Source organism: Homo sapiens, chromosome 11, assembly GCF_000001405.40.
Source record: "Homo sapiens chromosome 11, GRCh38.p14 Primary Assembly".
Taxonomy (NCBI): domain Eukaryota; kingdom Metazoa; phylum Chordata; class Mammalia; order Primates; family Hominidae; genus Homo; species Homo sapiens.
In genome coordinates, this window is record NC_000011.10 from 34,443,860 (window position 1) to 34,458,601 (window position 14,742).

The window sequence follows — 14,742 nt, forward strand, 5'->3', positions numbered from 1 at the left end:
GGGTGACTGAGTGACTTAACCCTTGGTCCACATGTGCTTTCATTTCTCCTGAAATATACCTAGGTATGGAATCGCTAAGTCATTATGTGCAGTGGGAGAGACTATGGGAGATGGGACAGAAATTTTTAAGGTTTCATTTCTTTTTTTTAGCTTTTGCATGGTGGGTAGGTCTATGCAAACCTACCCCCAAAGTCTGAGGAAGCTGAGAGGCCAAAGAAAGAGGCTGACAAATCAAGTTTCTCAGAAAGAAATGTTTAGTAGGGACTTAGGACCAGAAACCATGTCTGTGTCTTGCGTGTTGGCGAGACAAGATGGTGGATCCCATACCATTACCCCTCAGACCCAGGGCTTAATACCATAGGGAAGGGCGATTCAGAAGGGAGGTATGGCATGACTGAAGTATGATAATGTCAAGGTTGTTTGACCTCAGGGCAGGATTTATAGTAAATAGGGGCTCTTTCACAAGGAATAATAGATAAACTGGAAATCTTAAAACTGGAGTTAATCAGAAGTCAGCATGGTGGATCAGTATCTAAGACGGAATTGCTTTAGCTTCCACAGCAGTCAATATCTAGACCACCCTTATTATTTTCCCACAGACCAAGAAATTTGAAGGTCAGGACAGTCTTTGGTTTCCTGTACGTGGGTGTATACGTTGTAGGCACTTGAATCTTTGTTGAATAAATGGAGAATGTTAGGCAGTTATTTGCTAGAAAACGCTAGGCACATTCTTTATCACAGAATGAAAAGACGTCATTATGACTCCTCTGGGACTGATGGGCAATTTGCATTAACCAATCTTTTAATTAAAAGTGGAAGAATATGTTTAGGTTCTTGAAACTTCTGTGAGTGAAGGGAACTACTAAGTGGAAAGTGTAATATGTTGATAAAATATTTCACCAGATGAAGCCAACCTTACTCCTCCCAGGAAAACTTCTTCATTTATGTATTAGCTCTGGCCAAAAGAAGCCTATAAAGGCAGCAAAGTCAAAATAGAATTTTACTTTAAGTCCCTACTTCTAATAATTGTGCTAGTTTTTAGCCAAGCTAATTTCTGTGGCAGTTTTCATAACAAGTGTGTCTAAAGGTGTTTGATCAGAATTTATAAATTAAAATATTTCTCTCATTTTTTGGAGGGGCGATGCAGGGAGAGGGATAGACTGTTGCTGCTTCCTCCTGCTTGTTAGAAAGGCTCTTGGCCATATCATATTGGTCCGTGGTTTAGTTTATTTGCATGCTGAATCCACACACATTTGTTTTATGTTTGTTAGTATATTGAGCAGTGTATTAGGGATCAGGTATATAGATGTAAAAGGAGTACACAGTCTAGAGAGGAAAAATAGTGACAGGCTGGGCGCGGTGGCTCACGCCTATAATCCCAGCACTTTGGGAGGCCAAGATGGGCGGATTTCTTGAGGTCAGGAGTTTGAGATCATCAGCCTGGCCAACATGATGGAACCCTGTCTTTACTAAAAATACAAAAATTAGCTGGGTGTGGTGGTGGTCGCCTGTAATCCCAACTACTTGGGAGGCTGAGACGGGAGAATTGCTTGAACCCGGGAGGAGGTGGAGGTTACAGTGAGCTGAGACCATGCCACTGCACTCCAGCCTGGGCAATAGAGCGAGACTCCATCTCAAAAAAAAAAAAAAAAAAAAAAAAAAAGAAAAACAGTGACATAAACAGGCAATTACAATATTTTGTTATATGGGGCACAAGAAGATGCCCTTGGCCCTGCTTCATGAGTGGTGTGGGGCAGGGTAGAGAGAGCAGTTCAGGAGAGGTACGTATGGATGTCATGGGAGCTAGCAGCCAGGAAGATGTAAACATGTTAACAAGGACCTCTCCAGAGAGAGGTCTTAAAATTATCCAGCCATAGAGAAGCTTTTCTCTCTTTAAAAATATTCTGGCTCTAAAGTTATTCATTGAGTTAAAAACAATAATTGCAAGTTGGAGGAAATCTCTTTGCCTGTCCTTACGTGTTACATGTAACAAGTAAACCTGTGCCACAACACTGACATCTCTGCAAAGTTACTTAAGTTTTCTGAGTTTGTAGTATCGCCCATTAAATGGGATTAATAATATTGATCTCTGGATTATTGACAGGCTTAAGTGAGATAACTTGCGTGGTCCGTTTTCTAGCCCCACCCTCTCATTTCATCTAGTAAATCTTCATTGCATTAATTATTTTCATCTTAAATACACCGCATCCTGCTCCTCACCTTCTAATATTAATACTCTATCTTTCAGTTTAGATCAGTTCCTCTTATCCAATGTTGCGCTAAACATCCCCTGAAGTTGGGGGATCTTTTCCTTTCTAGTTTTTGCTCCCTGGCTTCCCTTTTCTGTTGCTGACTGTTGAAGCTTTCCTGCCCCACTGGCTTTGAAGGTAAATTGTATATACATGAGCTTGTGGGGAAAGCTGTTATATAAATGAGGACAATTGATCTAACTGTTAGAGTGGGGAAATGGAAGAGATTCTGAAGCCTCCATTTGTAACTTAAAAACTCAGGTTTCATTTCTTAACAGGATTGATGTTAAGGAGGGGATTCCTTCATTGGGCAGGAGGGAGGACTGCCATAATTCCAGCATTCCCACTCTTAATAGTCAGTGTCATCAGGAAAGACCACCTCAAGCTTTAGTACTTTATTCATTTATCCAACTCTGCACCTGCTGCCTTTGGGTGTGGTATTTATTCTTGACCATATCACCCTGACCCGGTAACCAGAAGGGAACATGTGATGTGCTCTCATCTCTGCCTTAGGGGCAGCTCCCTCCCCACGTTAAGAATGCTGGCATGTAAATAACACTCTCATCTGTTTAGCGTTCCTTTTACTGAGCTTCTTGGTATCTTTTCTCATACTTGTACCTTTTATGGGATGTCCCCCCCTTTTTTTTTTTGAGACGGAGTTTCGCTGCTGTTGCCCAGGCTGGAGTGCAATGGCACGATCTCAGCTCACCGCAACCTCCGCCTGCTGGGTTCAAGCGATTCTCCTGCCTCAGCCTCCCGAGTAGCTGGGACTACAGTCACCCCTCCACTGCACCTGGTACTAATTTTGTATTTTTAGTAGAGACAGGGTTTCTCCATGTTGGTCAGGCTGGTCTCGAACTCCTGATCTCAGGTGATCCACCTGCTGCAGCCTCCCGAAGTGTTGGGATTACAGGTGTGAGCCACCGCGCCCAGCCTGGATGTCCCTTTATTTTTTAAAGGCTTCCTTAAATACCTTGTTTGTAAGTTGAAAAGAGCATTTAAAGAGTGAACAGATTTGGTTTGCTCTGGCTCTCTAATTATTTTAACTTTGTTATCACCCAATAGTTCTAGGTTAGTGGTTTTCAATCCTAGCTTGAACAGGAGTCATTTAAAAATAGCCCAGGCCTCACCCAGGGCACTTCTATCAGACATCTCTAGGGGGGATGGCCCAGGCATCAGGAGGCTTTAAAAAGCTCCTCAGGTGATTTTAGTGCATTGCCAAGGTTGAAAACCAAGGCTTTAGGTTTAAACTAAAGGTGAAATTGCTCTTTTTCTGGTTCATTTTCTACTTTAGAAAGTAGAAATTTTTTTTCTGGTTCATTTTCTACTTTAAATTAAAAATAAACCTACAGAGGGTAACACGTATTAGCACGTCACAGAGGGTCACACGTATTAGCAACATATGTATCTTCAAAAGAGTGATGTGACTGGGTGGTAAGTGTTGATTGGACCCTTAAACTGTGACAGTTTAGAAGGGGCTTTGCTAGATGGGTTTAGGGACAGAGATGGTAGAGTGAGAGAGTGTGGATGGAGGAGTATGCATCTGTCATGATTACTAGAAAAATAAAACTTCAAATGCTTTGCTCCTTCTGCTGCGAGGTCATGTTCTCACAGCCAGTGAAGTGACAGCATATATGTGTTGAATGTGTGGCTTGCATTTTACATTTAACTCTTTTAATTCATGTGTTAACCTTAGGAGGTACTTATTATTCTATTTTGCAGATGAAAATGGAGACTCATAAATAAGTAACTTACCAGCAGCTACATAGCTGGTAATTGGTAGAACTGGAAGTTGGACCCAGGCTCTAGTGCTGGCACTCATAGTTTCTCCCTGCTGCCATGTTGGCCTCTTCCTACTTGGATGAAGATATAACTCTAGTGGCAAGGGCATTTACTAGTGTGTGAGAGGGTCTTGTTTATTAGTTTTGCAAATTGCACGGTCTCCTTTATTCAATATCTTTTTTCAAACAGCTCACAGATCTTTTGTGGTTTTGTAAGTGCCTACTCCCCACCGTATTGCCTTCTAGAGAAGAGGCAGGAATTTATTTTAATGTACAGGACAGACATGCATGGGGAGTAAAACTACAGACTCCACTCTAGGTGTGTGGAAATACTAAAAATAGTGCTTTTCTCTGTGTGTGAAGTTGGTCTGTTGAGTTTTGTCATAGACAGCGTTGAGTTCCTCTCCCAGGTGGAGGTGGCGTAGCTTTGCGTCACTTACGTGTCTCTCCTGATTTCCAGTGACCCGGGGAAGACACTGCAGAGGCAGTTGTCTGTGGTCAAAAGTATTCTCTGACCATGGAACTAGATGAAGCTATGAGCTTCCAGGATCATGTGGGGCTAGAAGAATGCCGCTCTAACCCTAGAGGAGGGACAGCTGAGTGTCTTCTGATGTAACTGAAATTGGAGAATCAGGTGGATTAAAATTAATTATTTATTACAGTAAAATAACCTATCCCATTTCAGAGACATTTGCTATCTTTAAAACATTAATACTATAATCCACCTTACCAGTAACAGTTTACTTTTAGTGACAGTGAAAGCCATTGACTTTTTTTTTTTAATTGAAAAGAGATGTTGCAAATAGCTGGTGTACATTTCTTGAGATGCACTAAACAAGGTAGCGCACTTGAAGATCGTGGCAGTAATAAAGCGTTTGTAAGTTCTGAGTAAAGTATTGACCAGCACAGCTTCCCTGGAGACCGTCTTCTCATTGCTGGATTGGACATTTCACTGTTAAGCTTGTAGGACGCTTTTGGGCACCTCTCTGACTGGGAGCTTTGCAGAACCCAGTGGCTTTCTCTGGAGCAGGTGCTGAGCACATTTTCAGGCTCCAAAATCATCTTTCTGCTCTTCAGAGCAAGTTTCTTAGCAGATTAGTGTTGAGATTTGTCAAGGGTTTCTGGGGCATCACTAAAAGTTTCAGGCAATGGCCCATCCTGTCAGATTTTAGTACTTTGGACACAGGAAATTAAAAAAGAGGGCAGATGGTATAAACATTGCAAAGCTATGTACCCGTGACAGTGTAAATGAAAGGTTTGATTGTGCTAACTCTCCTGCACTTTCTTTCTGTGTTCCTGTAGAAAGCTGATGTCCTGACCACTGGAGCTGGTAACCCAGTAGGAGACAAACTTAATGTTATTACAGTAGGGCCCCGTGGGCCCCTTCTTGTTCAGGATGTGGTTTTCACTGATGAAATGGCTCATTTTGACCGAGAGAGAATTCCTGAGAGAGTTGTGCATGCTAAAGGAGCAGGTAAGTGCTGTGTTTATTTGCTGTAAAAAGATTGTTTCACAGCACCTGGGTCAAGTGTTATTTCCCAAAGGATTGGAAGACCTTTAACACAAGTGTCAAATCTCCATTTGTGGGAGAAAGGAAAAACATCCAGCAGTAGGGAAATTAGTAAATAAATGATGGTTATTTCCTCAGGTTAAACATTATATATAAAATAGTTTCTTTTAAAAATAGCAGTCTTCCATTTCTCCCATCATTGAAGGAATAAAAATACAATAAGTCCTCACTTAACATCAATAGGTTCTTGGAAACTTTGACTTTAAACGACATGTAATGAAACCAATTTTATGATAGGCTAATTGACGTAAGCAAGAGTTAAGTTCCTATGGCATATTTCTGATTGATAAAACATCATCAAACTTCTAAATAGAGACTCAAAATACCTCTTATATTAAACATTGAAATAAATGTGAGCCATACATACCTTTAAGAAAGATTAGTAAAATAAGATAGTTATTTACTAGCTTATTCCAGTTCAAGGTGGTGGGAGGCCAGAGCCTGTCCTGGCAGGTTGGGGTACAAGGCAAGAGCCAGCCCTGGACAGGATGCTGTCCATTGCAGGGTGGACTCACACTGGGACCATTCAGACATGCCAGTTCACCTAACACGCACATCTTTGGGATGTGGGGGGAAGCTGGAGTACCAGGAGAAAACCTATCTAGACATGGGGAGAACATGCAGACTCCACACAGATGGTGGCCTCAGCTAGGAATAGATTTTTTTCTCATCAACGTTATAATGAAACAACGTTGAACAAAACAATGTTGTTTGAGGACCTGCTGTACAGAAATACAGACATAGACACATGCACTGCAATTGCAACTAAGTTTAAATGATGTACTTACTGGGTAATTACTGGAATGAGCTGCAAAATTTGGGGTAGTTATGTTAGGGTGGTGGGTTTGTGATGATTTTTCCTTTCCTTTTTTCCAACAATTTCTGTAAAACTTTCTTTATCGCTGTTATATCAGACACAAAAGATGGGGGTGGTATTTGAAAGAAAGTGAAAAACTCAGTTGGAAAAAGAGCTCCACAGAAAGGAAGTTTTTCTCTTAGCTTGCTGACTTGGACTTCCAGTTAGGACTTCTGCATTTCTTCATCTCTTCTTCCTGGATAAGGTTTCTCCCCATCTTCTCCAGTGGTTTGTGTGTATTTTTCCATCTTGACTTGTTTAGTTTATTGCTTGCTTTGTATCATCGTTGCTAAGTGTTGAAAAGATTCTTTCTCTTATGTTTTCATCTCCTCTTCTCTCTGTTCTTCACTTTCTCTCATAGGTCCTACCTGTACTTCAGGCCCCTCTGAGACCCTGTGTCCTTGGGCCAACCTTGACGACTTCTAGCCTCACTCACCTCCTTCTCTTGGCTCCAGCTATGTGGCATTCGACTTAGCACTGAATGATAGAATAGGGCTTTGCATTTCACCCTCTTTATTTTGTGTTTGGGCATTTCCCCTTCCTCCAACATACTGGAAGCTCCCAGAAGGCTGGTGCTAACCATCATTTTCTCTTGTCACCCAGGTGCCTGTTGAGGACCTGAATGTCTGAGTAATGGTCTCATGGTAAGGATTTCTGTGTCTTTCTCGTTAGGGGCCTTTGGCTACTTTGAGGTCACACATGACATTACCAAATACTCCAAGGCAAAGGTATTTGAGCATATTGGAAAGAAGACTCCCATCGCAGTTCGGTTCTCCACTGTTGGTAAGTTGGTTTATTGGCGTGATTGGTATGGCTTAACTCAACTTCACCTTTTGGGGATGTTTATAACTTAAAGAAAAAGTTATTAGAAAATAGGAAGCAAGCACTTCTCCAAATTATGTCAAGGTTTTACAGTAGAAGACATATTTGGAGACACATAGGAAGTTACTTGTATTTCTGTTTGTTGAGGTCTTAGGAAATCACACTTACACAGAGGCTACCTCTGCAATTCTGTGACATTTGGAAAGAGCTTTCCTAAAAGTGGTTGCCTCTAACAGAAGAATAGAGTGGAAATCTTATTTAATAACTATGCCTACAGCTGACCTTTATTGAGAATTAATTCTGTGCCAACTGTGGTTAGGTGCTTTACAGATATAATCTCTGATTTGTAGATCTACTTTGCAGAGTGGGATTCTTTTTATTTTTGAGAGGCTAAGTGATGTTTCTCACGTTACAGAGATAGTATTAGATCTATCATACTATATTTCAACATACCTAGTGCTTCACTAGTTCCGTTTCTGTGTCAGTCTCTGCATTTTAAAAATACTGTGGAATGTAAAAATAAATGAAATTAAGAACTAAGAACCAATATTTTAACTCATTTTCTTAATGTTAACCTCATCATTTTGACAACTCACTTATTCTGTTTGTCACTACTTTAAGCCTCATAATTATTTTCTTCCCTTATTTTAATTAAAAGTTCAATTACCTGTTTGAACAAAGTTATCTTATTATGGTAAATGAATGACATTGTCAGCTGTTATTACATGTGTTCTCTTATTGCTCTCAATTAATTATTTTGTTTGATTTGTGGACTGAATTAGCTGGTGGGTAGAAATAATAACCCGGGCACTTAAATACCTAATTTAGTTCTTGGAAGTGGATTAGAAAGGATGGATCCAGGTGCTTCTTTATGTCTCCAGGCTTCTTGGATGCAAAGTGCTGTGGCTTATGCTTCCTGTTTCCATTTGAATATTGTAGCTGGAGAATCGGGTTCAGCTGACACAGTTCGGGACCCTCGTGGGTTTGCAGTGAAATTTTACACAGAAGATGGTAACTGGGATCTCGTTGGAAATAACACCCCCATTTTCTTCATCAGGGATCCCATATTGGTAGGTAATAGAGTATTTTGCACTCAACAAATGTTTGTTGACTTAAATTGATTTCAAATAGGTTGGCATTTGAGGAGAAGCCGTGGGAAAGGCAGAAAGAAAAGAATGCGAGTTGTCTGGACTACTTTTTTCAACACATTTTTCTGTATTTAATAAGATAAAGTAAGAACAGTTACCATTGGTCTTAGATTTGTCATTTTAAGACAGATTGACTTAATGGGAAGTGAGTTTAGTTTTCCTTGCAGAGCATCGAAGATTAGTAAAAAGAGGGACTTTACTTTGGAAACAAGCAGAGGGTGTCTCTACATGCTCTGAGTCAGCAGGAGGGGGTGTGTGTGCGTGCGCGCATGCGGGAGGGTGGGTATATTTTTTCCGTGAAGAAATACTATAAATCCCAGCACTTTGGGAGGCCAAGGCAGGCAGATCACTGGAGTCCATGAGTTCGAGACCAGCCTGGGCAACATGGCAAAACCATATCTCTGCAAAAAAATACAAAAATTAGCCAAGTGTGGTGGCTCATGCCTATAGTCCCAGCTACTTGGGAGGCTGAGGTGGGAGATTTGCTTGAGCCCAGGAGGTCAAAGCTGCAGTGAGCTGTGATCATGCCATTGCAATCAGCCTGGGTGACAGAGTGAGACCCTGTCTTAAAAAAAAAAAAAAAGAAAAGACTATAGTTTTGAGTATATTTGAAATACTTTAGGGTATCTTAGATGCTAGTTGTCTATGCTGAGTAAATTTCATATTATGGTTTGGCAGTTTAAAATTCTAGGATTGTATTTAGAATTATAATCCATAAACCTAGTAATAGGCATATATAATGAAAGACACCATAATTCCTGTAAACTTAGTTTTTGGATTTTTTTCTCTCTTTTTTCTATTTAGTTTCCATCTTTTATCCACAGCCAAAAGAGAAATCCTCAGACACATCTGAAGGATCCGGACATGGTCTGGGACTTCTGGAGCCTACGTCCTGAGTCTCTGCATCAGGTATGAACCCTTTTTTGCCATTGTATTATATCACCTGGGATGCAGTGTTTAATTATGCCTCTTCATAAAGTGTCTCTCCAGTTTTGGCTATTTTATTGGAATCAGCTTCCTCAGATTTCTTGATCGTGAAGAGTTTTGTAGTAACTGGCTTTACTAATCATCCCCCATTCATCGGCCTTAAATGATGATGATGATGATGATAGATAGCTAGCAACATTGTCAGTTGATATTTAGCAGTAGTAAGGATGAAAGTCTGTAGTGTAAGGTAAAGCTCTGTATTAAGGAAGTGGGGGGAAAGTAGTACCAAACAAATTTGCTATGCAAATAAATTTTGAATAACAAATTAGGCCAGTTTTCAGGTTGTTTTGGCTTTCCTTCATAGAATTTTGAGTCATAGTATTAGTGATTTGCATATCATTTTGATTTAAAATTTTTCTGTTTGTTATTTTCTACAAGTGAAATAATAATGGTAACCCTTCCCATGGGAAATTGGCTAGTATGTTTTATGTCATTAAGGGACTTTCTGGAAACTAAGGAATATCTTAAAAATCAAGGATGTTTTGATTTAAATGAAAACATTTTAGGCTTTATATTTCTGTTCTTTAGGTTTCTTTCTTGTTCAGTGATCGGGGGATTCCAGATGGACATCGCCACATGAATGGATATGGATCACATACTTTCAAGCTGGTTAATGCAAATGGGGAGGCAGTTTATTGCAAATTCCATTATAAGGTATGTGTTACCTTTGGGGCAGAGGGTACAAGGCTCCTACCGCATACCTCCTTATTTTTCCTGAAGGATTGAGCAAAGATTAAGGCTTCTCCCACTTTTCCCTCACCTCCATCCCCAAAGTTGGGAAGTATTGATCTCATTGATCAGTACTGATTTTGTTGGCTACCATCTGAGGACCTTGGAGCGTATCCCAATCTCATTATCACTTCCAACATCCAATAGTGTCTTTCCAATATCATTTCTTTTAACTTTTTAAGTCATCCATCTATTTACTTAGCATTTATTGAGGTTTTATTATGAACAAGGCATATAAGTAAAATCAATTACAAATGTCAGAAAACAAAATTATACTGTTTTTAAAAATTTGCATTCATATAGCCAGATCAAATCAGTTACATCTGGGGAGGGTTTTGAGAATGTTTTAATCAACTGAAATATTATAAAGGGCCCTCTTTTGGTATAAGCATGGCATTTGTTACAATGAGCAATATTGCCAGTGAACCCTGGCATGTTAGTGATATTCCCAGAGAACTCCCAAGGGCTAGTCAGAAACAAGCCTGAGAACCTCTGTTTCCAAATACTGCTGCTAAGATAAGCAGAAAGAAGTGGGCTCGTGACCAGTACTGGATAATCTCTCTCTTAGTGACATCCAAAAGCCCTATTTTCTTCTATCCTGCTTTCTTCTTTATCTGAACAATTTAATGTAGGTATATCAAACAGGAAAACTATCACCTCTTTTTATATTCATAACTTGGATCTATAATATTTGACAAGGAAAAATTTTATGAAACAGTTGACCCATTGGCTTGTAATTGCCAAAAGGGTCAATGTAGTATTACTTAGAATAAGACTAAGTGGTTGTATCTAGGACAGCCAGTCTAGTTGGTAGCCTTGGAGTTATGCCAGCCTGAACTCAAATTTCTACTCTCCTAGATAATTGTGGCCTTGGGCATAGTATTAAAAGTTCTTTGAGCTCCAGTTCTTTTCACTGTGAAGTTGGCATAATATTACCAGCTATACAAGTCCTGGAAAGATTGGATTGCTTGTGGGTCTTTTATCCTAGGGCCCTAAGGTAGCCTGAGATCTACATGGATTCATCAGTCTGGATTATTCTGACCTAAGATTATTCTTTTCTAAACCTAAAGGATTCAGTTAAAATCAGAAAGGTATTGCAGTGTTATTGTACTACTTAATATATTAGCTCTTTGGGCGATCTGTACATGGTGACCTTCATTGTTTTAATCCTGAAGGTGGCTTTACTTCTTGTTCAGTAGTAAGAGTTCAAACCTTTTCACTGATGAGACAGTTGGGATTTCTGTGGTAGAAATAGACCAGCGTTCAGAGTTGATTTTTGCTAAGGAAATCTTTCTGCGGCACTTGGCTTGTTGGGAGGTCTTTGAGAATAAGATCACATGGTCAGTCCATCAAAGAACAGTATGATATGATAACAGGAGCACTTATGAAGTGACACAGCTTCTCTGGGTTTTAATGTCTTGCTTGGAAAGTCAGAATATTAATTTTGCCTGCTCATAGTCAGAGAACTAGTTCCAGGTGGCTGTACTGAAGTTCTTTTCAACTCTATGAGCTATGATTCTATGATTTATTAAAAAAAAAAAAAAAAGGAATAGGACAGGGGTGAAGGGATACTGGCCGAGCACAGTCTCAGTAATTGATTTGAGCTGTCATGAAATGGAATTAAAACATTACTTCATGATAAAAGGCAAGTAGTCCTTTAATTTTATTAATCTTTTGCCTACTTTTAAGTATATTTTGATTTTTCTGATTTGGAAAGTAACATGAGTGTAAAAATTCAAATAATAGAATACATAAAGGGAAAGATAGGACTGATTTTAAATATGAAATGTGTAGATGGGATTCCCTTGACATTTAAAAGTATTGGGATAATCAAGTAGAATTTCTTGTTGATAAATTCATTAGTATCAGATTTGAACAATAGAAGTATTGTTGTAAAGAAAGTTCATTCTTTGGGCAGTGTTACTCATAATCCTTCAATGAATTACTGATGAAATTTTGATAACTTTGACAATAAGTTTCCATTGGAGCTTCTTTCTTTCATTTTGTAGACTGACCAGGGCATCAAAAACCTTTCTGTTGAAGATGCGGCGAGACTTTCCCAGGAAGATCCTGACTATGGCATCCGGGATCTTTTTAACGCCATTGCCACAGGAAAGTACCCCTCCTGGACTTTTTACATCCAGGTCATGACATTTAATCAGGCAGAAACTTTTCCATTTAATCCATTCGATCTCACCAAGGTGAGTCAGTAAACAACTATATTGTTTTCTTTTTTAAGTCTCTTCTTACCTAATTAGAAAAAAAATCTAGTCAAACAATTATAATAATGGGGAAGTCATATACAAAATACAGAGGGTACCACTTCAGAGTGTCCTAAGCTGTGAATGAGTGCTTACCAGCATCTTACTTCCACGTTCCTGTTTGTCATTTCATTGAGTATGTGTATGTGGCTTCATATATTGTTATTAACAGGGAACAGATTATGAAAAGCTGATGTACTTTTTCCTGGGGAAACTGTCAGTATTTACCACTTACTATTGTGAAAGATTTAACTAAGGCACTCATCTTAAATTCTTATGTTTTATTGGATTTAAAAATTATTTTCATTGGCTTGATTGTATTTGAAATCTGGTATTTTTGTGGGTAGCTTTGATTTCCTTCAGTTGATTGCCTGGTAATTGTGAATATGACATCATTTTCAGGTTTGGCCTCACAAGGACTACCCTCTCATCCCAGTTGGTAAACTGGTCTTAAACCGGAATCCAGTTAATTACTTTGCTGAGGTTGAACAGATAGCCTTCGACCCAAGCAACATGCCACCTGGCATTGAGGCCAGTCCTGACAAAATGCTTCAGGTGAGCCTGGTGGATTGAGATGTTCTGAGGCAGGTGTCCATGTGAGCATGCACACACAAAATATGCAGCTTGGCATGATCTTTATGTGAGGAATTAACAAGAACATTACTTAAACTTTAATCTGGGTGCTTGGTTACCTTGTGGGATTCACTGAGGTGAACTATTCTTCAATGAGCATTCCTTGAGTAAACCAAGTATAAACAAAAGTCCATGGTAAGATCCCTACATATGTGAAGACAAGAATACTTACTCTCTTAATTAAAAAAAAAAGACATAATAGAAATACCTTAAGTATTGATAGAGTGAAGCATGGTTTGTTCTGTCTGTAGCTGAAGTATGGTTAATTAATTATAATACCTTGGTAAGCCTAACTTTATTTTCTTGTTCTTTTTTTTTTTTTTTTTTTTTTTTTTGTGACAGAGTCTTGCTCTGTCGCCCAGGCTGGAGTGCAGTGGCATGATCTCGGCTCACTGCAACCTCCGCCTCCCAGGTTCAAGCGATCCTCCTGCCTCAGCCTCTTGATTAGCTACAGGCGCCCGCCACCATGCCCAGCTAATTTTTGTATTTTTAGTAGAGACGGGGTTTCACCCTGTTGGCCAGGCTGGTCTCAAACTCCTGACCTCAAGTGATCTGCCTGCCTCCGCCTCCCAAAGTGCTGGATTATAGGCGTGAGCCACCGTGGCTGGCCTCATTTTCTGTTTCATGGTGATGCTTGAATTTTTCCATTTGTAAAAAGAGATCTAGGGATGATCTTTATGAACTACATGTATGCTGCCAGTGATAAAAGCAGTGGATTAACCATTCACCTTGCTAATGTTAAGCCATCAGTATGTTTTACATCACTTTTTAATATCTCTTTCAAGAGTACCAAGAGTGAAAAATTGTACTTTGGATCAGAATCAGTAAGAAAATAATTGGCTTAATAATTACTGTATAAATCAATCTTTTGTGGTTTTAGACTGTGACCTTGAAACAAAGGTTAAAGATTGTACCCTAAATCAGACCACAGCGACTGAAGGTTACTTCTTATGTAAGTATCTGATTCCAGTTCAGGTTTCAGTCTGCATGGAGGACAAGCTAAGATTCCGTTTTTAAAAAATAACTTTTTTGCTTATGACATTGGGGAACATCTGAGGCTTTTATAGAAAGTAAGTTTTTCATTAGTTTTTAGTCCAATTCAACTGTTACAAATTGAGTACCTGTCTGTTGTGTATGGTGGACTGTCTTGGGTGCCATAATGTAAGGCAGAATGCCATGGTGATCCAGAAAGCAAAATTTTGTCTGATAGGAGGTCAGCCACGAAGTTTCATGAACGAGGTAGCATTTGAGATTGTTTTGAAGAATAGATAGGATTTTGATTTTTAGTAGGTAAAATGCGGCAGGAGAAGGACATGAGTATAGGCACAAAGGTGGGACATGTTAGGTGTGTTGAAACTATAAACAGTCACTCTCTCCTGAATGAGAAGAATAGAGTTTGGGTAGGTTCATTGAGTATATGTCAGAGGGGACCTTAAATGCTTGAGTAGGAGTGAAAAGCTTTCTTCAGTTTTGAGAAGTGTGGTCTGGGATATATTGAGTAGAATCACTCCTCTTGGTGATAAATAGAAAAAGCGACAACTAGGGATTGGGAATAGCAAAAGGAAAGTCAGGCAGTTCTCAGAGGAAAAGCAGAAGTTTGCATTGAAACCAGGGAGTAGAGGAAGCCAAAACAAGGTAATCCTGGGCCCTAAAACTCCCTACCTGGTGGCTGAACTGTGAGAGGATGAGGCTAATGGGATTTGCCA

The 14,742-nt window shown here is 39.5% G+C and overlaps 1 protein-coding gene across 1 annotated transcript in view; it reads left to right on the top strand.

The window, feature by feature from the left end:
* CAT (catalase) overlaps window positions 1-14,742 on the top strand; it is a 33,127-nt gene that overhangs the window by 4,926 nt on the left and 13,459 nt on the right. Inside the window, exons 2-8 of the mRNA NM_001752.4 lie at window positions 5,333-5,504; window positions 7,129-7,239; window positions 8,218-8,348; window positions 9,231-9,335; window positions 9,942-10,067; window positions 12,152-12,343; window positions 12,806-12,958. Coding sequence (NP_001743.1) covers window positions 5,333-5,504; window positions 7,129-7,239; window positions 8,218-8,348; window positions 9,231-9,335; window positions 9,942-10,067; window positions 12,152-12,343; window positions 12,806-12,958 — 990 coding nt within the window. The remainder of the gene's footprint in view (window positions 1-5,332; window positions 5,505-7,128; window positions 7,240-8,217; window positions 8,349-9,230; window positions 9,336-9,941; window positions 10,068-12,151; window positions 12,344-12,805; window positions 12,959-14,742) is intronic.